The sequence below is a fragment of the Homo sapiens genome, chromosome 18 (assembly GCF_000001405.40).
Source record: "Homo sapiens chromosome 18, GRCh38.p14 Primary Assembly".
In the NCBI taxonomy this organism is placed as follows: domain Eukaryota; kingdom Metazoa; phylum Chordata; class Mammalia; order Primates; family Hominidae; genus Homo; species Homo sapiens.
The window spans coordinates 57510671-57536672 of record NC_000018.10 but is presented as its reverse complement, the minus strand read 5'-3'; the positions used below and the strand labels follow the sequence as shown (position 1 = coordinate 57536672).

Genomic DNA, 26002 nt, shown 5'->3' with positions numbered 1-26002 from the left:
CCTCTGAGACTGTTCCCACTCAGGTTCTGTGGACTCATCATCTCCTGTGTGTGAGGCTTCACGCTGTGGCATAGAGATGGGGTCTCAGGGCTGAGGTGGGTGCTTACAAGTACAGGCCCGGAATCAGACAAAGCCTGAGCCCAATCCCGGCTCCTCATGTATCAGCTGTGAGATTTAAGCAAGTAACTGAACCTCCCAGGACTCTAGCACCTCATCTCTGACATGCAATAGTAACATCTACCCACAGTTTTGTTGTAGAGATGGGTAAGAAGCCAGTGCCACGGCCCAGTGTGCACTGGGGTAGCTGTTAGTGTGCGCCGGCGCTGGAGGAGCTTGAGCTTTGGTCCTGACTGTGCCTAATTAGCCCTGTGACCTCTGGTGAGTGTCCCCTAGCCCCTGTCCAGAGCACGTGTGGAATGTGTAAAGAGGTCGAGATTAGCCAGGATGATTTCCTAGTCTTTCCAGCCACAATAGTCTTGGGCCAGAAAGACTCTGAGACCCTGGTTAAACTTATTTTTGAGCAGCTTAAGCAGCAGTCATATATATTCCTTAGACTGGGCTTCCAAAATTGCATGGAGAATTTTGCAGAACACTTCAACATCATGTTTGCTGCTTAGGAATCATTTGGAAAATGGGGCTTCGTCCACTGGGTTACATTTTGCCTCTCCTAAGTAGGAAACAGGTGGTGAAATCCCCGAGTTAAAGAACGGGGGTAGAGGAGGAGCTGTTTAGTTCATTCTTTTGTGTCTAAGTAAGACGTCCTGGAAACAGAGAAGTCATGCAGTGTTAAATCTGACAGGATAGAGGTTATCCCGACACCTGGGCAGGACCTGTGCAGAGCAGGCCCTCAGAAAGCACCAGGACCATTCAACTTTCAGAAATGGGGGCTCAAAGAGGTGAAGCGACTTGACCATGGTCATACAGAGTTAGTCTTCCAATTCTAAGGCCAGGATTTTTTCTTTCTAGGGTCCTTTCTAGGATTCTTATTTCATCTGAAATTGCTTTGGGGTGCCACTGTTGAAGGCATAGTTTTATTAGACACAGCTGTGGTACTGTTCAGACAGAGTTAAAAATATATTCATAGCTCCCAGAGACATTAGAATCTGGTGCAAAGTTAAAAAGAAAGGAGGAACCTGGATGAGATAGAGCAGAGATTCTTCCAGATGCAACATCCATGATGAAGATCTAGATGCACCTACACAATTTTTCAGTTTCACTGTAGAAGACACAAAGGCCGGGCACAGTGGCTCACACCTGTAATCCCAGCACTTTGGGAGGCTGAGGCAAGAGGGTCACTTCAGGCCAGGAGTTCGGGACTAGCCTGGGCAACAAAGTAAGACCTCATTGCTACAAAAAAATTAAAAAGAATAGCTGGATGTGGTGGCATGCACCTGTGGTCCCAGCTACTTGGGAGGCTGAGGCAGGAGGACTACATGAGCCCAGGAGGTCGGGGCTGCAGTGAGCCGTGATTGTGCCACTATACTCCAGCCTAAGTGACACAGTGAGATCTCGTCTTAAAAAACAAACAAACAAACAAAAAACAAACAAAAAAAAAAATGGAAAAGAAAAGAAAGAAGACACGCATTTTAATTGCAAATCCAATCTTCATTTAAAAGGGGATCTCTTTTTCATACTCCACGGTTCTGGTCTCTGAACATTTGCTACTACAGACATACTTGGCAGACTTCTCAAGATCTATTACCCAGCATCAGCATGTTATCTAGACATCTAGAAACACACTTAAATATTTCTTTTTTAAAAAACCAAAACTTCAATAGTCATGAGAAACAGGAGCACCTCCTGCTCAGTCTCTAACTATTTGAACAGTATTTCTCATCAATTCAGAAATTAGTCTGACCTTTGCCCTGGGGACATGTGTGCCAGGTATTAAGGACTGTTGAGGGACAATCTGTGTCATAGGGGAGGTGACATCTGTTCTACAGAATGTGGCCTTCTTTGTGGGGCCAGCCTTTTACCTGTATGGCAAGTCCTCATCTTCCTTATCTGGCTGCCTGCCCTATGGACTTTCTGCCTGTCTCTGAGGATGGTTCTGGTGGCCAGGGAGGAAGCTCTTGGCCTTCAGTTGCTCTCCCATGTCTGTCCATGGTAGACTTAGCACAGGGCAAACCTTTGGAAAGGAAAATGCTGGATTTCCCTGTGGTGCTGTGGTATTGACCAGCGTGTGTGTGAGTGTGTGTTTGTGTGTAGACTGGGTGGGAGGAGGGGAGGAAACAAATGTATAAATCACATTTTGCAAATCCTTCCATTCTTAGCCAGCTGTAAACTCATGTCTTTGCTTTTCTCAAGCTTTGATTTATGTATTGGGATCATGGGGTTTGTGTCCCTTCTTCTGGCTGTAAGTTTGGATTTAGCAGGGTGCTCCATAAAAATGTTATGTGATTTGCATGCTCTGGGCTGATTGAGTTGCATTCTTTATAGGATCATTTTTTAGATGGATGGTCTCTGTGGGCCTCCATTCTTTTGTTTTCTGGGGTTCAAAGGTCACATCAAAAACCTCCCGGCCTGCTGCCTGATGTGACCTTTGAACTCCAAAGGGCACAAGATCATGAGGCCATAAAATAAGGCACAAACACTAAAGGTGTCATTCTGATTGTCCTCAAAGGACAGGAGTTTAAGGCTTGGCCACATGATTCAGGGTAGAGGAAATACTGAGAGAGCAAAATGCAGGGAGCATCAAACAATGAAATCTCAAACCATAGCCAGGAAGGATGTAAAATCGCCTCTGGGGCTGGACACTGGGCTAATTGCTAACAATGTCAGCCACATGTTTCTACAGCGATTTCTGGTAAGACAGCCCCAGAAAGCTCAAACATGCTGACTGCCAGGTTATTTTTTTTCATTGCATCACCATCAGTGGGTCCCTGTTTCTGTACACTGCCTGCCCTGGCCCGCGTAAGGCCAGCAGGAGGGTGTTGGGAGGGCCTACATGCTGGCACAGCGGAGTTCAAACTCACAGGAAGGACATCAGGGCAAGGCTGAAATCTGAGACCTGCGACCTGGTGGCTTGGAAGGAAGAGCTCTATCTTTGCTGTTGGTTTTTTAAAAGGGGAAGAAGCACTGGCTCGGAGTTAAACCTCCGAACAGTGTGTCATTGGGAAGGGGAAGATCTCTTTGGATAATGATAAAGGTCTCCTTGTGGCCGGGTCGAATTTCAGGGCCAGCCAAAACAAACATGCAAGGGAAATGCAGCAGAGCCCTACAGGGCCCAGTTTGGAAACTGAAGGCTCAGGCTCAGGATCTTTGACACCAGATAAATTAGCCAGAATATTCTGAAACCATAAATGAACTTCTACTGATTTATGCAGAGGTTTCCGAGGTCTTTCAAAAATGCATGTGAGGAGCATTTATACTCCCTAGTGGCATGGAAAATCTTTCACGGCAGCAGAAAGAAGCAAAGCCAGTGTCGCTGAAAGCCTACAGCTGAAAATAAACTGCCGTCCTGGAAAAAGCTCATACTCAGGATGGGGTGTGTGCGGACGGTCATCCTTAGAGAGAGGGCACAGTCCACTCTCTATTGCACAGAGGGGGAAACCAAGCCCCAAGTCGGGATGATTCAGACACATCTGTCCCCAGATGTTATTCTCAAACTGAGTAGAGGGAAGGGATGTTTTAAAAGTGGATGGGTAGAAATCCGAGCTCCCCCAAAGGGCAGGAGAAAGGGACACTCCTGGCCTGAAACTCAGACCCGAGGTTGTGGGTTTGAAAGCTTAGCAGTGCCAGGTGGAAGTTCAGGAATTGCAGGCCGAATACTTGGGAGTTGATTGCAGCTGAGGAATAAGGGGTCCTGATAGGGAGATGGAGAGAGGCAGAATGGGAGGATGAAGGGATCAGCCGAGGGAAAGAAGAAGAGACTCAGAGGGAAGACGGCTCACGGGGTGGCTAGTTCCTCTAGAGCTGGGGAGGGATTTGTGAATATGGAAATAGAGGAAAGACATTTGCTTTGGAATGACTGGGTTTTATTTTATTTTATTTTTAAGAGACAGGGTCTCACTCTGTTGCCCAGGCTGGAGTACAGCAGAGCTACCATGACTCGCTGCAACCTTGACCTCCTGGGCTCAAGCAATCCTCCCACCTCAGCCTCCCAAATATCTGAGACTCCAGTAGTGCACTACCACACCTGGCTAATTTTTGAATTTTTATTTTTTGTAGAGACAGCGTTTCGCTATACTGCCCAGGCTGGTCTCGAACTCCTGGCCTCAAGCGGTCCCCTCACTTTGGTCTCCCAAAGTGCTACGATTACAGGTGTGAGTCACCACGTCCAGCCATGACTAAGTTTTATTCTTAGTCCAGGCCCTCAGTATTTAGGCTTAGCTCCTGGGAAGAGTGAGCAGTGAGTGCAAAGCTCTTCTCCATCTCTGTCTCCCTAGAGCAGCTATTTTAAAGAAGGGGCAGAGTTTGACTGTGAGTGGATCTGGGTTCCAGTGTTTGATGCACCTGTGTCTTTGAAAGGTAGCATCTGTGCAGGGGTGAGTCCAGGTCTCCTGTCTCCCCTAGTTACCCAATCACCCCCTTTGTCTCCTGATACCTGCTTTCTGAGAGGTTAGAGGACCTCACCTGGGTCCGTACCCATGCTTGGACTTGGGCCACCATTATTAGTTCAAGCTTTTGAGTTTCTCTGGTTTGCTTGAGTGATAAAAAATTAACTCTGTGGGGAAGGAGGAGGACACAGCCTGAGGCTGTGGCTGAGAACGCCTTCTGATGGGGCCTGTTCTGCACACCAAGTGCAGAGGATGGCTGTCCTTCAAGCACCTACAGAGCTGGTTACCCTGGCCCATAGGCCTGTTTGAAACTCACCTTTCTTCACAAGACCAGGTTAAATGCCCCCACCTTCAGGAAGTCTTCCTGGACTAGCCCAGCCCAGAGGAATCTTTCCTTTCTGATCGCATGGAGTGCCGTTCTTCCAGTGTGTATCATGCTTGGTTTACTAATGTTAATCAAGTAGACTGCCACGTGCATTCATATTTATATGTGTACATATCTACATCAACATCTAAAGCCCTCTCCAGCTGAACTAAACGCTCCCCCAGGCCAGGAACCTTGTCTTTCCTCTTATTCATCTCTCTTCCTAAAAATATTTCTTGGTTAATTGATGTATTGACTTCTTGGGTGCACTGCACATCTTCTTTTGATGGACATTCATTTTATCAGAAGTTGAGTGGGAGACTGATTTAACACGCTCCCCCTGGACCAGGCACAGTGGCTCACACTTGTAATCCCAGCACTTTGGGAGGCTGATATGGTTTGGCTGTGTCCCCACCAAATCTCAACTTGAATTGTATCTCCCAGAATTCCCACATGTTGTGGGAGGGACCCAGGGGGAGGTAACTGAATCATGGGGCTGGTCTTTCCTATGCTATTCTCATGATAGTGAATACGTCTCATGAGATCTGATGGGTTTATCAGGGGTTTCCACTTTTGCTTCCTCCTCGTTTTCTCTTGCCATTGCCATGTAAGAATTACCTTTTGCCTCCTGCCATGATTCTGAGGCCTCCCCAGCCATGTGAAACTGTAAGGCCAATTAAACCTCTTTTCCTTCCCAGTCTTGGGGATGTCTTTATCAGCAGTGTGAAAATGGACAAATACAGAAGATGGCTTTCAGGCCAGGAGTTTGAGACCAGCCTGGGCAACATATTGAGACCATGTCTCTACAAAAACATTTTTAAAAAAAGTTAGCTGGATATGGTGGCTTGAGCCTGTAGTCCTAGCTACTCAGGAGGCTGAGGCTGGAGCATTGCTTAGCCCCAGGAGTTGGAGGCTGCAATGAGCTAAGAAAGTGCCACTGCACTCCAGTCTGGGTAAAAAAATGCTCCCTCTGGTAGGAAGTAGAATTATAGTTATCAGAGGCTGGGAAGTGTTTGTGTGTATGTGGGGGAGGAGGGGATGAAGAGAGTGGTTAATGGGTACAAATGTGCAGTTAGACAGAAGGAATAATTTCTAATGTGCAATAGCAGAGTAGGGTGATTGTAATTAATAACAATGAATTGTATATTTCAAAATAGCTAAAGGAGCAGACTTGAAATGTTCCCAATACGTAGAAATGATAAGTGCTCAAGGTGATGGAGATTCTAAATATCCCGACTTGATCATTACACATTCTGCACATGCAACAAAAGATCATATGCACCCCCTGCAAATGCACGAATGTTATGTGTTAATTTAAGCATGCCCCCTCCCTGTTGCTGTGCTCCATGACTCTATGTGTGTGTGGAATATCCACAACAATCATAGCACAGTCCTGTCACTTCTACACAGCATGAAGGGACAGGGCCAGAGGTGATGCTCCTGGAGGGGGGACGCAGGCCCAGGACAGTTCACTTTTGTGGGTGTGAGGAGTGAGTCAGGCTTGGGACAGGAGCTCGGACACCTGGGCCCCATCCTCAGAGATTCTGATTGAAGTGGTCTGAATTGGGACTCTGGCCTCAGTATTTCTTAAAAACTCTCAGTGACTCCACTGTGCACCCAGGGTTGGAGATCACAGATATACATACGGTGAAGTCAGACTGTCTCCTGGCTCCTGTGTTTACCAGCTGCTGTTCCCGCCAGCACAGGTGTACCGGTCTCTGAATTGCAATCCCAAATTAGTGGGAGAGGAAATCTGATTGGCTGAGCTTGGGACCATGTGTCCATCTTGGTCCAATTAGCCACTGCCAGGGGCATGGGCCATGGACTATAAAGCTGGCCGGCCACTGAGGAGCCCACCCCTTTAGATCTGGGGTGTATTTCCCACGAATGGGAAGGTTGTGGCTGGGCAGACATCCCCAAAGGTGACTGGCACAGCTTGTGCCATATGCTATGAAACTCTTGTTTGTTTTGAAGTCTGTGAAGTCTTTAAGGGCAGACATCATTTTCTGAAACCCCATGTATTAACCACGTTTTCGTTTTCTGTATTTTAGGATGCTTTGACATCTTGGGGCCCTGTGGACCCAGGAAGGGACTACCCTTCCCAGGGTTGGCTATTTCCTACAGGTAGCAAACAACTTGCCTGCAAGATGCCTTTGATATGCAAACCAACTCATCCCAAGTCCATTCCCCAAACTGGCTCCTTTCATCAGGCTTAGGAAACCCTAGACGTTATCCTTCTGCCCAAAATCACCCTAGGGCCAGATACCATTCAACTGGGGACCACCCTGATAGCCCAGAGCCTGCTGACGTTATTCAGCCTATCCAATCCTAAACTTGCTCAGTGGCTTACCCTGCCTCGCCCGTTCCTTCCCTTGAGAACCACAAATGAAGGAAAGACTTTGCCCATGCTTTTCCCTCACTCCTGCCTCCTGACTCGACCTGGTGCCTCCCTGTGTGGCTCTGAATGGTGTGGCATGGTGTGTCCCCTTCTCTTGGGAACCGTAAGTAACAAACTATCTTTTCAGTTGTGGTCATCTCCTAATCTGCTGGCCTTACCGTATGATATTGTTTGAATATTTGTCCCCTTCAAATCTCCTGCTGAAATGTAATCCCCAGGGTTGGAGGTGGGGCCTGGTGGAGGTGTTTGGTCATGAGGGCGGGTCCTTCATGAACAGCTTAGTGCCATCCCCTTGGTGACCAGTGAGTTCTGGCTCTGAATTCATGTGAGATCTGGTTGTTTAAAATAGTGTGGTACCTCCCCACTCGCTCTCTTGCTCGTGTTCTCACCCTGTGAGATGCCTGCTCTCTCTTCACCTTCTGCCATGAGTAGAAGCTTCCTGAGGCCATCACCAGAAGCAGGCAGTATGCGCCATGATTTCTGTACTGTCTGCAGAACCGTGAGCCAATGAAACCTCTTTTCTTTATAATTTACCCAGCACAGGTATTTTTTTTATAGTAATACAAGAACAGCCTAACACACCATCCCTGAATAAGAACAACCTCCTGGGTATGTTTTTAAAAAATCCCAGCATCTGGCACAGTACCTGTTACATAGAAGGCAAGTGATAAATACTTGCTGAATTAAATATATGAATGGATAGATGGATGGATGGATGGACAGACAGATGGACAGATGGGTGAGTGGATGGATGGATGGATGGATGGATGGATGGATGAGAAGGCCCTTGAGAGTTTAGAGGGGGCATGGTATGAAGTTATATGCCTGATCCAGCCCTGGGTGATAGATGCCTAGGCCTGTCCTCCCATGCTTCCTCCTCTGTCTTAGCAACCACAGGCAATTACAGTGGGATAACTGAATGGAGAGGCCAGGTGATTCCCTGAAAAATAGCAATCAGACCAAGACCTGCAGAAGAAAGGGTGTGGGTTCAGTGTCCCGGCTCTTGTGGGCACTGTGTTTGTAGGTAGAAATGATGAATGGATGTGCACTGACATTTATGTCACTGTGCTGAGAGTTGCTCTCTCTTCCCCTCACAGTCTCTCTCTATAGGATAAAAGATTCTGAGCACCAAAGAATTGTCCCATCTAGTCAAACTGGGGCAAACTGACAAACTCCATCTTGGTTCATTAGACCCATGGATGAATTATGGGATGTAGAGGGAAACTGTGCCTGGCACACGCTTAATGAACCCAGGGTCTCCAGTGATGGATGGATGGATGGAAGTGAACATTCGTCTACTCTCACTTGCTCCAATGATGTCATTTTAAACCAACAGTGAATTTCACCCAGAAACCAACCCGGACACAGAGCAGAGATAAGGAGGGTAAGAGTGCCTCAGGAGGAATGTTAATCAGATTCCAGAAGCCTGCCAATCAGTCCTGCTGCGAGTTCATTTAAATGCTCAGTTTAGCTCTTGAATTAAAACAAGACAGTGCTAAAACTTTAATCAATCCAGTTCAGCTGCCACACTCAGGCATGAGCAGAGAATAAAATGAAGGTCACAGGAGAAGTCTGGGAGAGAGAATTTGACAGTCTGCACAGATGAATGAGGTTATGGCAAATGGCCTTTGAGATGAAAGGGAGGCCGAGGCCGGCAGTTCATTTAGAACAGGAGTGGCCATCTGTCAATAGCTGGGACCAGATTCCTGATCCTTGCGCTTCTGGAGCATGCAGGGGTGTGTTGGTGTGCATGCGAGTGTGTGTGTGTGTGTGTGCGCGCGCGCGCTCACCTGCCAGAGTGGAGAAATAGGTAAGAAGCTGCTAAAAGGAAAAACTCCTCTTCCATGTTCACCTAGAGATTTATCTTGCTTAGCAACTAACTTCCATGGAGGGTTCTTTTCTTTTCTTTTGTTTTCTTTCATTCCTTGCTTTTCTTTCTTTTATTTTTTTTAGAGTCAGGATCTTACTCTGTTGCCCAGGCTGGAGTGCAGTGGTACAATCATGGCTCACTGCAGCTTCAACCTTCTGGACTCGAGTGATTCTCCCACCTCAGCCTCCCCAGAAGTTGAGACCACAGGTATGTGCTACCACACCTGGCAATTTTTTTTTTTTTTTGAGAAGGGGTCCTGCTATATTGCCCAGGCTAGTCTCATACTCCTGGTTTCAAGTGATCCTCCTGCCTCGAACTCCTAAAGTGTTGGGATTACAAGCATTAGCCACCATGCCTGGCCTTAACTCATATTTCAATGTACATGTTACTTCTTCACATAATCAGTTGACTTCAGCCTGAATTCCTGAGCTCAAGGAAGGCGTGGGGATTTTGAAACTGGTGCATATACATGATGGTGGGCCAAGCCAGCAGTAGTGTGGCCTTAAGTAGGAGCAAGGATGCTGCATTACTCAGGGTTCTTTTGAGGGACAGAACTAATAGGATATATGCATATATCTGAAAGGGAGTTTATTAAGGAGAATCAACTCATGAGATCACATGGTAAAGTCCTATGAAAGGCTGTCTGCAAGGTGAGGAGCAAGGAAGCCAGCAGTGGATCAGTCTGAGTCCCAAAACCTCAAAGGTAGGGAAGCTGATGGTGCAGCCTTCAGTCAGGCTGATGGTGCAGCCTTCAGTCTGTGGCCAAAGGCCCGAGAGCCCCTGGCAAACCACTGGTGTAAGTCCCATAATCCAAAAGCTGAAGAACTTGGAGTCTGATGTTTGGGGGCAAGAAGCATCCGGCACAGGAGAAAGATGAAGGCTGGAAGACTCAGCAAATCTGCTCTTCCATCTTCTCCTGCCTGTTTTATTCTAGCCTTGCTGGCAGCTGATTAGATGGTGCCCACCCAGACTGAGGGTGGGTTTGCCTTTCCCATCCCACTGACTCAGATGTTAATCTCCTTTGGCAACACCCTCACAGACATACCCAGGAACAGTACTTTGCATCTCTCAATCCAATCAAGTTGACAATATTAACCATCACAGATGCAAAGCAGGGGAAAAAGGGATGCCAGGATCCAGGAACCAACTTCTCCTCCGAACTTTGCTCGGCACCCTGCAAGCAAAGGTACGGGGAAAGCCAACTGTCTGCTTGTGGCTTAGAAAAGGCCCAGAGGTAGGGAGTGGAAAGTGAACATAGAGGCTAGTGGTGCGGAGCCAGGAGGATGCGGTGGAGGCCTTGAGGACCATCAACCACATCCAAACACTGTCCCCCTGGGCACACTACTCTAATTGCCTTGACCCCTCAGTGCCTTCTGGGACTTAGACACCATGCTGGGAAAGGAGGAGAGAGGCCCTGTGTTAACCAAGACTGCCTCCATCCTGTCTGTCCAGACAGCCCATCCACTGTCTATCTGCTGTCTCTCTGACTTTCTCCCTTCCACCGTCTTCTTCCCTCTGTCTCACATGCTCCAGCCACACTGGTCTTCTTATAGGTCTGGCAGATGCCAAGACACACTTCTGTCTCGGCCTTTGCACTCGCTGTTCTTACTTCTTGGAATGCTCTATGCCCAAATATGCTCAGGGCTCCCTTCCCACTTCAACTGCTCACATATCATGTTTTTAGAAAGGCCTTCTCTGACCACCTTATTTAAAATAATTCCACCATCCACCACTCTCTGTCCTGTTTTATTTGTCTTCAGAGCACTTATCACCACTGACATCATATACATATATGCATACACCATACACACACACATATATATATCACACACAGGCACACACACACACACACATATATATATGTGTGTATATATATGTGTGTATATATATATGCGTGTGTGTATATATATATATGCATGTCTCAGAGATATTGTGGGTTTAGTTCTAGACCTCCACAATAAAGCAAACATTATGATAAAGTGAGTTGCACACATTGCCCAGATCCATCAGAGGAATCACTATGGCACCTATATAGCCTTATAAAATGTATTTCTTAAATAATACAACTTGAAGGTCAAAATTACTCCTTGATCCATGAGCCCCAGAATAGATTTTGTGTTAGCAGGCATGAAAATGACATTAATCTTCTTGTATATCTCCATCAGAGCTCTTGGGTGCTTAGATGCATGGTCAATGAGCAGTAATATTTTGAAAGAGTTTTTGTTTGTTTGTTTGTTTCTGAGCAGTAGGTCTCAACAGTGGGATTAAAATGTTCAGTAAACCATCTATAAGCAGATGTGCTATTAGCCAGGCTTTGTTGCTTCATTTACAGAGCACAGGGAGAGTAGATTTAGCATCATTCTTAAGGGGCCTAGGATTTTCAGAATGGAAAATGAGCATTGGCTTCAACTTAAAGTCACCAACTGCATTAGACCCTAACGAGAGTCAGTCTGTCCTTTGAAGCCTTGAAGCCAGGCATTGACTTATCCTCTCTAGCTATGAAAGTCCTAGATGGCATCTTCTTCCAACATAAGGATGTTTCATCTACATTGAAAATCTGTTAGTGTGGCTGCCTTCATCAATAATCTTATTTAGATCTTCTGGATAACTTGCCGCAGCTTCTCCATCAGCACTTGCTGCTTTACCTCAAGTGCTGATGTTTGTGGAAATGGCTCCTTTCCTTAAACCTCCTGAACCAAACTTTGCTAGCTTCCAACTCCTCTTCTCTTCCTCTTTTCTTCTTCCTTCTTCTTTCTTCTTTCTTTACTCCTCCTCCTCCTTCCTCTTCCTCTCCTCTTCCTCTCCTCTTCCTCCTTCTCCTTCTTCTTCTTCTCCTCCTCCTCCTCCTCCTCCACTCCTCTCCTCTCCTCTCCTGTCCTCTCCTCTCAGTGTTTATAGAATTGAAGAGACTTAGGGCCTTGTTCTGGATTAGGCTTTGGTTTAAGGGAATGCTGTGGCTGGTTGGATCTTCTATCCAGACCAACTACAACTTTCTCTACATCAGTAATAAGGCTGTTTCGCTTTCTTATCATCTGTGTGTTCACTGGAGTGGCACATTTAATTTTCTTCAAGAACTTTTTCTTCGCATTTTCAACTTGACTAACTGGCACAAGAAGCTTTGCTTTCAGCCTGTCTTGGCTTTCACTGTGTCTTCCTCACTGTTTAATTACTTACAGCTTTTGATTTAAAGTGAGAGTTGTGTGACTTTTACTTTCACTTGAACACTTAGAGCCCATTGTAGGGCTATTCATTGGCCTAATTTCAATATTTGTGTGTCTCAGGGCATAGGGAGTCCAAACAGTCAGAACACATAACATTCATCTGTTAAGTTTGCCATCTTGTATGGGTGCTGTTGGTGGTACCCAAAAACAATTATAATAGTAACAGCAAAGATCACTGATCACAGATCACTGTAACAGACACAATAATAATAATGAAAAAGCTCAAAGTATTACGAGAATTACCAAAAGGTGACACAGAATCATGAAGTGAGCACATGCTGTCAGAAAGATGTCCCAGACAGACGTGATCCATGCAGGGTTGCCACAAACCTTCAATTTGTAAAATACACAATGTCTGTGAGGCGCACTGTAGCGAAGTCTGCCTGCGTATTTGTTTATTTGTTTGTTGACGTCTATTTCCCCCATTAGAACATCATTCTGCAGAAGCAAGGACTTGGTCTTTTTCATTCACTGCCATATCCACAGTGCTCAAGACAGCATCTGTGCAGGAACCCCTCCTGAATGAGTGGCATTTGCATACAGCCTTCTCCACTGTACCACGTGGACATGAGCAGTGTAGGGGATGCAGCGTCCATCTGCCTCTTGCTGCTCCTGTCGCAGCCTTCTGCCTTCAGGACCCACCATTTAAGCCTCTTCTTCCTTCTCTACCTCTCCACTGCCTCAGTCCAGGGAAACCTTATCCAGCCTGGGGCAGGGCTGTCTGGCTCTGACTGATCACATATTCTTCCAAATCTATTATTTATGCCTGAACCATATGCCTTGAGTCTTTCAGGCCTGAGGCTTCTTATGCTCAAAAGCCAAGCTTTGAAATACAGAAAGCTTCTTCCCCCCTTAAAACTATGGTCTCTGCTGTGAGTTTCCAGAAGCCTATTTTGTAATGCAGAAGTGAAAGCTTGATTCCTTTTACTGTATTTTGCAGTGTCATCACTTCACTAATGCGAGGCGTGTGAACGTCCCTGCGGCTGCCTATATCAGAGGGCAGACCAAAGGGTGAGTAAGTAGGGTGAGGTTCGTAGATCAAAATGTTATCTGCCACATACTCTATAGTATAAGAACTCTCACTAAGTATTGCAAGTGTAAATGACCTTGGAAGCACTTTCTAGTTGGTGCCACAGCATTGGCAAACAAAGCTAAAAATAATAAAACCCAGTGTTGCTGGAGATGTGGGAAACACCATGTATTGGGGATGCTGCACTCATTTGCTCCGATATTTCTTGAAAGCAGTCTGGTAGTAGTGTAACAAGAACTATGAACATTATCCTCAGATAATGCATTGGTAATGCCACTTTGGGAAATATACTCCATAAGCATAAGCCAAAGGGAGCAAATGAAAAACCATAATTTTTTTCAAAGATAATCACGGCATCATTTAGAAACAATGAAAATATCCAAGAAGGGAAAGTGGTTAAGCACTACGATCTGTCAAGACAATGGGATAGTAGCTAAGTCTTTGGGCTTAGGGTAGGACAACTACTTTAACAAATAACCACAAACCTTGGTGGCTTAGCACAATAAAAGTTTATTTCTTACACACATTGCAACTCAATGTGGGTCTGTTGGGGAGAGAGGTTTCTGTATGCCATCACTCAGGGACCTAGGCTTCTGTGTTTAGTGGCTCCACCATTTCCTCCCTGTATCTGATAGATCCATGAGGGAAGAGAGTGAGAACAGAGGATTGCAAGGGAAGTTTCATGAGCCAGATCCAGAGGTCTGGAGGCAACATTACTTCTACCCACATTCTAGGAGTCAGAACCCAGTCACATGGCCACATCTAACTACAAGGGAGGCTGGGAAATGTAGTCTTGCTATAAGCCCAGGGTGGAAGGGGAATTGTTTGGTGAACACATAGCAGTGATTGCCACACTGTCAACAAGTTACACATGTTGACTATGCTGACACATGAGCACTTAAATATTAAATCATATTAAATAGACAAAGCAAAACACAGAAACACTAATTAGGATTGATTACTAATAACTATATACTTACAATTATGTATATTGACCAACTCAGAAGTGATTTTAAAGTATTGTGGGCTTCGTACTTGTATGTTTTGTCCTTACTGTAAAATGAAAAATTCACAGGGCAGAAAAAACTGTGGTTATGGATTTATGTGACCAGATGTGGAGTTCCATTATGATGTTTACCTTTTTGAAACTTTTTCATTGAAAACAGAGAAGCTTGTTTGCAGCAACATGGATGAACCCGGAGGTCACTGTGCTAAGTGAAATAAGCCAGATATGGAAGGACAAATACTGTATGATCTCATGCATTTGTGGAACCTAAAAAAGTTGAACTCATTGAGGCAGAGAGTAGAATAGCAGTTGCCAGGGGGTGGGGGCTGGAGAAAACAGGGAGACAGGGTCAAAGGGTTCAACCTTAGTTATAAGATGACCAAGTGCTGAAAATCTAATGGACAGCATGGATGGTAATTGATGTATTAATTAATTCGATTGTGGTTATCATTATACAATGTCTACGTATATCAAATCATCACATTGTACACCTTGAATATATTCAATCTTTGTTAGTTAAATATTTTAAAATAAAAAATTTAAAAACATAAATGGAATATCAGTATTAAAAAATAAAAAGAGGGTTTTCTCAGTTCTATTTTTCTGATTATAAAATAAATACCTGTTATTGTAAAAAATTAGAAAAGCATTTTTTAAAGTATGTACTATTCTTCAACTCACTGGTAAACACTGTTGATACTACTTTACAGTTCTTTCTCCTAAGCATGTATTTATATATTTGAGATACTATAGACTATTTTGCAGGCAGCATTTGTCATTTAACACTATTGCATGGGTATTTTTCCTTGCCACTAAAATTATTTTTCAATTTTAATGTCTTTGCGATATTTCATTATATAGATGCACTATAATTTAAGCCACTCTCTGGGTGAGGGACATTGTTCACCTATTTTGCTGGTATAACTCACTCTCTAAGGATTATCTTTTACAAACAGCTTAGCCCACATTTCTAATTACTTTTTAGGATGAAGTCCTTAAAAAGGAATTACCAGGTCAGAAAACACGAGTGTTTTCAAGGTTCTTGATAGACATTGCCCAAACTGCCTTCCAGAAAGGTCATATAATTTATATTCTTCTCTCACTTCACTTTTGTAGCATCCAGTACTATTAATATTTCTATTTTTTTCTGATTTGATAAGCAGGAAGCTATCTCTGGTGACTTTATTTTTAATTTTTTGGATTCCTTTTGTGGCTGAATAGCTTTCTTATGTGTATTAGCCAAACATTTGTATTTTCTCTTTTGTAAATTATCTATTCATAATCTTTACCCATTTTTCTGTTTCTTTTTCTTATTGATTTGTATGAATGCCTTGTATAGTAAGAATATTAACCTTTTGCCTGTCATGTATGTGGCTAATATTTTTTCAGTTTATTGTTTGCTTTTAATTTTTTGACATCTAGATGTTTACAATATTTGTGTAGTCTGTTAGTCCTTTCCCTTGTGACTTCCTTCATTATTTTATACTTAGAAACTTCTTTCAATGCAAGGATTAAATACTTATCTACATTTTCTTATGGTTTTCCATGTTTTTCAGGTATTATAATTTTAATATGTCAGTTTATTTTATTTTATGATGTGAGATAAGGATTTAGATGTTTACACCACCAAGAGAGCCAATTTCTTCCAAATCACATTCAAAGAATTCATTCATTTCTCACTGACTTGTAATATACCTCCTTCATTAGCTATGAGGCTCTTATGAAAGTGCAGATTTTAGAATCTGTAAAGCGAAAAATAACAATCTGTCACTGACCACCCAGCGTTGTCATGAAAATATACTATTTATTTTTAGATAAATCTATAAATCACATGTATAAATCTATGTGAATAGAATGAGATAAATAGGTTGGGCATGGTGGCTCATGCCTGTAATCCTAGCATTTTGGGAGGCTGATGGGGGTGGATAGTTTGAGCTCAGAAGTTCAAGACCAGCCTAGGCAACATGGCAAAAGCCTGTCTCAACCAAAAACACAAAAAATCAGCCGGGCGTGATGGTGCACGCCTATAGTCCCAGCTACTCAGGAGGCTGAGGTTGGAAGATTGCTTGAATCTGGAAGGTGGAGGTTGCAGTGAGTCAAGATTACACCACTATACTCCAGCCTGGGCGACACCGTAAGACTCCCTCTCAAAACAAAAATGAAAACAAACAAACAAGAAAAACCCCAAACAACAACAAAAAACAATAAGTAGATGCCACTTTTGGGGTAGGGGATCAGTTGAAAAAAGCAGATGAAAAAATGACAGCAGTAGGTAAGTTCAGATTAAAAATGAGGAGGATGACCTCAATTCAGGTTTAGGTCTGTTTTCCTGGGGAGCTGACCTGACCTGACCTGAACGAAGTTCTCCCAAGAAACCTTTGCCCTGGGGGCAAAGGCAGCAGTGAGCCAGGCACTGAGGCTGGCATGGAGAATGTGAGTCATGGGCAGATTTGTTTTTCAATTCCTAGAAAGCTCTTTCCCATGAGCCAAAACATAGGGATGGAAATGGGCTTGGGTTGAGAAGGTAGGGAAGGAAATGGGGAGGAGATATGGAAAAATGGCTGCACATTTTTGTGGCATTTTTTTTCAGCATACAGACTATTAAATGACAGCCGGGTGTGGTGGCTCACTTCTGTAATTCCAGCACTTTGGGATGCTAAGTAAATGGGTAGATTGCTTGAGTCCAGGAGTTCAAGACCAGTCTGGACAACATGGTGAGACCCTGTCTCTACAAAAAATACAAAAAACAATTAGCCGGGCGTGATGTTCTGCGCCTGTAGTCCCAGCTACTTGGGAGGCTGAGGTGGGAGGATTGCTTGAGCCCAGGAGGCAGAGGATGCAGTGAGCCAAGATTCTGCCACTGCACTCCAGGTGGGCAACAGAGTGAGACCCTGTCTGAAAAAATAAATAAAATAAAATAAAATAAATGAATAAATAAATAAATAAATGAAAGTGTTTTTCAGAAGTTGACACGTTCCAAATGTTTAATCAGATCTGGGGTGGTATACTCTTGCCTAACGCAATCTGAGGTTTTTCTGGAATTTTGGTCTGACTTTGGTTTGGACAGTGCCTCATAAATGGAAGATCCTTTACACTCCACTTTCCTATGGATTTGACCACATCTATAGGCTGTAAAATAAACCCCAGAGTTCCACTGCTCACAGCCTTCTGTTTTCTTAGCTTTCCTTTTTCCATTTGAAAACAAAACTAAGTCATATTGCTCAGTATTCAAAAAGCTATGAGTCTAGGCAGGGGATTATTAAGTGTTTTTTTTTTTTCTTTCATGGAGGACAATGGTAAAAGATCTACTATCCATGCCACATAGCCCTGGGTAATTTTTTTTCTGTCATCTTTAAGAATGATGCACAATGTGTGAATATGGCCCACAGTTGGGGCCTAATTATGATTCTCCAGCAAGTGCGCTGCATTTTGGAGGAAGTCTTAAACGAGCACTTAAGCAGTAATGCCTCTGAATACACCACTGTGGATCTGGAAGAGGGCTTTGATTCCTGCACCCGGAGCCGCCGACGCCCACGCTGCTCCCACAAGCACTTTTATCACCAAGTTATTGGACCATTATGGTCTACGATTGTCTTTTACCGCCTTTGATTTTTTTCTGTTGTCAGATGTGAGGAAAGTGATGTGTAATACGATCCAAAATGCTCTTGTTTGTTTTAATCTGCTGTTTTAATATATTATGGCTTCCTGCCATTACCCTCCTCTACCAGGGCCCTAGGGTCCCTTGGAGACAGTGGGAGCCTGGAATGTGCTGGGCACTTTGGGGATTTGGTGCAAAGCTGTGGCATGTGTGCTCCTGCCAGGGGGGACCTCAGAGCCAGGAGTGGAGCTGGCAGCTGGGTCCAGAGGCTTTGGAGGTCACTGTAAAAAAGAGTGGCCTGGGGACTGGGCAAGTGGAACATGCTCTCCAAGAGATCTCTTCCAACTGTGAGTTCCAGCAGGTGTTTGTATGGATTTGGGGTCAAAGCCTTCTTGGGCTTGAGGTGGGTTTAGGGCGGTTTCCCAAAACCCAGCTTCGCAATGGTAAGAAGAGATACCCACTCCAGGAAGTGCTTCAAAATGGAGCTTTAGGGTGAGGTGTGGTCTTGGGTGATGGCATCTGTGATGATTACACACAAGTACAAAACACTCTAGTCTTGGCTCTGTCACTAACTGAGCACATCCTTTCCCTCTCAGAGCCACTTGGTCCCCCGTGTCTACATGAAGAGTATGAGATTAGGCCCTTCATAATCCCCAGCCTCCCATCGGCTCCCTGGCCTTCCTGGTGTATTAACATAGGCAGCTGTTCCTGTTTCTCTTCCATCGTATGAGAAACCGTTGGCTTCTCAAGGCCGGTGGCCAGCAAGCTGGGGAAGGCCATGAAGAGGGCTATCTTTGCTCTAAAAAAAGTTTTAATTGACACATAATAATTATACATATTTATGGGATACATAGTGATGGTGTCATATATATAATGTACAGTGGTCAGATCAGGGTGATTAGTATATCTTTGCTTTTGCAGTGACCACCAAAATCATCCTGGAAAGACCTCTGGGAGAGATGGCAGAGCTTGATCCACTCTGCATGCCAAGCTGGCTGCTGGCAAGGAGGTTGATCATCTCTGATGGCCTTCAGCCACAGAGCAGCCACAGCCTTAATGAGAGACCCCTGCCTTGAACCCTTCGTTTAATCGATGAACGAATACTCAGTGAGTACTGAGTATGTGTCAGCACATCAGCTCTTTTCCTCTTCGTATCAGCCCTATGAGACATGCAAGAAGAGTGTTTATGCCCTCTTTACAGATGAGGCGACTGAGGCACAGCGTTGGGGGCCATCGCCAGAACTGAGAGTGACTATGCAGATACTGGAATCCACTTCCCTTCACCATTAGACCAGCGTTTTCCCACTCTATTGTAGATGGAACATTACAGAACAACCCTCACTTCTCAATTCTACGAAACCACTGATTATTAAGGGAGAAGACAAGAGTTGGCCATATCTCTACACATCTCATTAAAAAATGTTTCAATTTAAGAACTCTGGGCTGGGCACGGTGGCTCATGCCTGTAATCCCAGCATTTTGGGAGGCCAACGTGGGTGAATCACTTGAGGTCAGGAGTTCGAGACCAGCCTGGCCAACATGGTGAAACCCCGTCTCTACTAAAAATACAAAAATTAGTCAGGTGTGGTGGTGAGCACCTGTAATTCCAGCTACTCAGGAGGCTGAGGCAGGAGAATTGCTTGAACCTGGAAGGTGGAGGTTATAGTGAGTCGAGGTTACACCACTGCACTCCAGCATGGGTGACAAAGTGAGACCCCCGTCTCAAAAAAAAAAAAAAAAAAAAAAAGAACTCTGGAGAGGAAAATTGGAACATACCCATGTACCTGGGCTCTGTTTAAATTTCTGTTGAGATGGATCACTATTTGTCAGTGTAAAACACTGTGCTTTGGACACAAGTAGCAATAGAAATTCTAGCATGAAAATAAAATTCAAAAGTCAAAACCTTGTTCATTATCTTATAGGTAACAATGGCTTTAGGGGAGGCAGAATAGTTCCCTTAAAGGTAATTGATCCGTTAGTGCAAGATGGCAGATGAACACAAAATCCCAGTGAAAGGACAGTAAAGACATCTAAAAATGAAAAATCCATAATGGCACTAAGAATGAAAGTAGGGACAGCATCAACAGCCCAGAGATTCTAGTTTCTGTAAGAGATTCAATTAATAAATCACAACGGAGCTGTATCTAAGAATGAACTGAGCTGCCTAGAGAAGGCTAGAGCTCCCTGTGTGGATGCTGGTGCCCTACTGATATGGTTTGGCTCTGTGTCCCCATCCAAATCTCATCTTGAATTGTAATCCCTGTAATCCCCATGTGTCGATGGGGGGACGTGGTGGGAGGTGACTGGATCAAGGGGGCAGTCTCCTCCATGCTGTTCTCATGGAAGTGAGTGAGTTCTTATGAGATCTAATGTTTTTATAAGTGTTTGACAGTTCCTCCTTCAAACGATATCTCTCCTGCCACCTTGTGAAGAAGGCGCTTGCTTCCTCTTTGCCTTCTACCACGATTGTAAGTTTCGTGAGGCCTCCTCAGCCATGTGGAACTGTGAGTCAATTAAACCTTTTTCCTTTATAAATTACCCAGTCATGGGTATTTCTTTACAGCAGTGTGAAAACTGACTAATACACCTACTATAAAGCCTTTTTAAATTTGTGGCCCTGGGTTGGGGAAAAGGGTGTAAGGAGGTACCAGCTCTCAAGAGCTGAGTTGACTGTCAGCCACCACAACCATCCCAATTCAGATAAGAGGTGAGGTCATGTGTGGAAATGTATACCTTCTTGGAGGAAGCCCACCATGGCTTCCCATATTAGTCAACTTAGTGTTTCATTCATGCAGATGAACGCATAGTAGACAATGTTGCCAACCCAAGGACAACAGACAATGAAGGAAGCAAGTTGCACACAAGAGAAGACTAACATTAACATGAACAACAAAACCCAATGAAAAAATGTATTTCAGGAATGGAGAGAATTTTAAAAATCTTACTAGACTCCTCAGAGAGATCCAGGATCTTGCATCCATAAAACAAGAACAGGCTACTATGATATTGAATATTCCCAACACAAAGATGTTAAGTGTTTTAGATGATGGATATGCTAATTATTCTAATTTGATCACTGTATTGCAACATCACTATGTACCCCATAAATACATACAATTATTATGTGTAAATTGAAAAATATTTTTTTGGCCAGGTGCAGTGACTCATACACGTAATCCCAGAACTTTGGGAGACTGAGGCAGGACAATCACTTGAATCCAGGAGTTTGAGACCTGCCTGGGCAACACAGTGAGACCCTATCTCTAAAAAAAAAAAAATTTCTTGGGCATTCCTGTAGTCCCAGCTACAAGGGAGGCTGAAATTGGAAGATTACTTGAGCCTAGGTGGTCAAAACTGCCGTGAGCTGTGATCACGCCACTGCACTCCAGCCTGGGTGACACAGGGAGACCTTGTCTCAAAAAATTTTTTGTTTAAGAAGGAACCAGAAGTAGAAGGAAAAAAAAGGAGCAGGCTACTATGAAAAAGAATCTCCAGAAGACAAAAAAGAATAATTGGAAATTAAAGATATAATTGCCAAAATTAAAAAATATAATAAAATGACTGAAGATGAATTTGATAAAATCTCTTAGAGCACAGAGCAAAATGGTGAAAAGATGAAAAGCATGAAGTTAAAATTAAGAGACAAAATATTATTCCAGGAGATTCAGCATTCAAGTGATGAGAGAAAGAACAGGAGGAAAGAGGAAATGAACACATAAATTGAAGTAGTGTGAGCTTAACAATTAAAGAAAAACACAAGATTACAAATTCAAAAGGTGCACTGATTTCTGAGCAAGAAAATGAAAACAGACCCATATCTGTAGGTGAAGCAACGCACCACAGAGATAAAGAGACGATTCTGGACTGGGCCTGTCCAACAGAGTAGCCAGGTGTCATGTGTGGATACCGAGTGCTTGAATGCAGCTGGTCCACATTGAGATGTGATGCAAGAGTAAAACACCCACGGATCTCAAAGTCTTAGGATGAGAAAAGTAATGTGAAATATCTAAATAATAGCTTTAAAAATAGTGATTACAAGTTGAAATACTATTTTGGATATACAGAAATGGGTTAAATAAAAATACACTATAAAATTAATTTCACTTGTTTCTTTTTACTTTTTTAATGTGACTACTAGAAAAGTTTAAATTACTTATGTTGCTCACGTTATGTTTCTATTGTACATTGCCATTATAACAGCATCCAGAGAGAGAGAAAGACAGGAAAAGAGAGAGAGAGATAGAGAGAGAGAGATGATCCATAAAAAAGGATGAGGGTATGATCGATTTCAGATTTCCCATCAAAACACAGGACAGAAAATTATAGTATTTATTTATTTATTAATTTTTTCAAATTGTAGAGTGATATTGTTTGGCTCTGTGTCCCCACCCAAATCTCATCTTGTAGTTCCTATAATTTCCACATGTTGTGGGAGGGACCTGGCGGGTCTTTCCCAAGCTCTTCTTGTGACAGTGTATGGGTCTCACGAGATCTGATGGTTTTAAAACTGGGAGTTTCTCTGCACAAACCCTCTCTTTTCCTGCTGTTGTCCACATAAGATGTGACTTGCTCCTCCTCGCCTTCCACCATGATTGTGAGGCCTTCCCAGCCACGTGGAACCGTAAGTCCAATAAACCTCTTTCTTTGGTAAATTGCCCAGTCTTGGGTATGTCTTTATCTGCAGCATGAAAACCAACTAATACATAGAGACCCAGGCTATGTTGCACAGGCTAGTCTGGAACTCCTGGCCTCAAGCAATCCTCCTGCCTCAGCCTCCCAAAGCGCTGGGATTACAGGCATGAGCCGTAGTGCCTGGTCAAAAGATTATAGTCTAAATTTATTGGAGGAAGAAAAGATCTTAAATCTAAAATTTAATATCCAGCCAACCTGTTAATCAAATATGAAGGTGAAATAAACACTTTTCCAGCCATGCTGGATTCTGGATGAATTCAGGATCTTTATTTACCAATCATCTAGATGTAGGAGAGAAAGAAGCAGCCATGGTCCAAGAAACAGTGCCACGCTTCTAGGTGTGAAACAGAAAGGAATCTCGGGGGACACTTCCACAGCAGGTCTAAAAACACGGCTCGAATCAGAATATGAAGTCAGAAGACTCTGAATGAAACTTCAAGCATAGAATGGGGATCAGTTAACAGGCAGAACAATGAAGAAGCTGGAAAATCTCATCCCAGTGGGAAAGAAACAGGTGTATTTTTTTCCCCCTCTATTCAAGAAAGAAGAAGCACAATTTGAAATGCCAAGGAAAAAAATGGAAAAACCAGAGAGAAAAAAATAATGGAAAAACCAGAGAAGAAAGCTTTGGTTCAAATATAAAACCACCAAAAACGTGGCCTGGTTTTGAGCAACTGATGGAATGTAAGAAAAGAGAATCCATTTGACCTTCTCCTGGGAACATTCTTCGAGAGAGAGTCAGCTAGCGACATATATGATCATATTTCCTTTTCAGTGGGTCTGATCATACTCTTTCTATAGTGATCAATAATTACATAATCACATTTACATAGTTATAACTAAATGCTTGCTAGTTTCAATTTTTATAATCAAAACAGAAGGCAGTTATAGACTAGAATGTGCGTCTAACAATTGACACTGTGTAGGTGATGCCCAAGCTAGGGGAATTCAAGTTGTGAGCAGGAAGGGGAAGGGCAAGTGTAGGTGCAACTTTCTTCATTTGACTTTGGGATGAGACAAGAGATATTGTGGAAAGAAGATGGGACAAAAATAAAGGATAATGTATATTATTTAAAAATAAAAAGGTCACTACTCGAAGAACCAAATACAATAATATAATGAAACTCAAAATCGAGAGAGATGATTGAAAATATTGCAAGTGAACTAAATTCCTCCTCTATTAAATAGTGCAAATGACTTGATATTATCTAATCATGATAAGCCAAAAAATTGAAATCTATGCATATTGTTTAGAATTATGGTGGTAACTTATCAGAAGAACTAAAAAAAAAGCTTAAAAGAGTTTCCTAAAGGACTTGTGTGGGAGACAGCAGATGGGAGTTTGCTTTTTATTTCATACCAGTGTGTACAGTTTAAATGTTTTAACCTTTTGCATATATAATGTTATATTATTTTTGAAAATACACTTATAAAAATTGGTGTTAACAGTAGGTATAAAGAAGCCCTAATTAAGGACTTGTTTGTCTCTGCTGATGACATTTGCTAGCTTGGGTCTTTAGCTAATGATATATCTCCTTGTCCTTTGTGGGTCCCTGGTCTGTGGCTGAGTTCCTGTTCTGTACGCTGACACACTCCATCATTCTAAATCAACATGTGCACTTAACAGTGCTATTTAAGCCTTAATAAATATTGTATTATCATTCATGGGGGGTGGTGCGGAGAGAGATGGCAGCTTATATACAAGAGAGGGACTTTTCTTGTCAGGGCCATTGTGTATATACATGTCAAAGAGATGGACACAGAGAGGAAGCAAATTTTCACTGAGGCTTTTGAAAATGGAATAAGGAAATTTATAGCATCCTTACTCATTTCTTCAGGGAAGGGAGGAAATTCAAGGGCTCTCTAGGCTGTCCAGGACTCATGCTTCTGGTCCGAAGCAAATCCACCTTAATGTGTTGGTTCGTGGGCTCTGCATATTCTCAGCAGCATGAGCACTCAGGGGACACGGTGTCTGGGCATGTCTCAGAGCTTTCCCATGAGAAGGGGCATCCTTGCTCCTCCACCTCACTCATCATCAGGCCTTGCCCTCTGCAGGGAATGGTAGGCCCCAGAAAGCTAGGTCTACAAGACTCAAAACAGAGGCTCAGGTCCCCACTTCTCAAGAGTCCTTGGACAATGAGCTGGCTGCTAGCGCTTGGCTAGTTCCAGACCTCGTTGCTCTTTGTGGGATGGTCCCTGGATCCCCTCTCCCTGGGATTGACCCTTCCCATTCTCATGTTTCCACCTGCCTCTAAACCTCATGCTCCTTCTAATTTGGGGGCCTTTTCCATAGAAACTCTTGCCCTTTCACTTAGTTCTTGTCAAATGGCTGGAATAAATATTTGGTTTCCCAAGGTAGCTACTATGAAAGAATCAATACACATTTGGATGCATGAATTCTTTTTTTTTATTATTATACTTTAAGTTCTAGGGTACATGTGCACAATGTGTAGGTTAGTTACAAATGTATACATGTGCCATGCTGGTGTGCTGCACCCATTAACTCATTGTTTAGCATTAGGTATATCTCCTAATGCTATCCCTCCCCCCTCCCCCCACCCCACAACTGTCCCCAGAGTGTGATGTTCCCCTTCCTGTGTCCATGTGTTCTCATTGTTCAATTCCCACCTATGAGTGAGAACATGGATGCATGAATTCTAATCTGTTGGCTAAAAAATCAGAGTTACTGAGTTTTTATGTTCCTTACAGTCAGATCTATCAGTGTTCCAGTGTCTTCTGACCATCTATACCTTGTTGCCGATCCCAATACAAACTAGTGCAAGAGCCTTCATATGTAGAATTTCTCATAGAAGTCTCTTGTATTTGTCAGGACTCTTTTTTGTTCCAAGCCACAGAAACACAAATCAAATTAGCTTAAGCAACAGAAGGAGTTTATCGGCTATTAGCCAAGGAAGTCAAGGTGGATATGTGTTCAGTCATAGCTGAATCCAGGGGTTCAATGTTTTCAGGGATTTGTCTCTCTCACCAACTCTGGTTCTGTTTTGCTTTGTGCACTGCCCCACTTTCACGTGACTTTCACCATGTGGGATGGAAGATGGTTTCTGGAATCACCAAGCTTATACTTGTATAGTGTGTGATACAAAAGGAAATCTAATTATCTCTTATTTTCTTTGTATATTAAATCTTTTTTTTTTTTTTTTTTTTGAGATGGAGTTTTGCTCTTGTTGCCCAGGCTGGAGTGCAATAGCATGATCTCAGCTCACTGCAATCTCCACCTCCCAGGTTCAACTGATTCTCCTGCCTCAGCCTCCCAAGTAGCTGGGATTACATGCGTGTGCTACCATGCCCAGCTAATTTTGTATT

The 26002-nt window shown here is 43.4% G+C and overlaps 1 annotated feature.

Annotated features, from left to right (window-relative positions):
• Window positions 13165-13214: an enhancer, noted in NCBI's record as "active region_13369". NCBI's record gives its function as "activates an Ori minimal core promoter by ATAC-STARR-seq in GM12878 lymphoblastoid cells {active_cell/tissue: GM12878}" and the evidence as "EXISTENCE:reporter gene assay evidence [ECO:0000049][PMID:35858748]".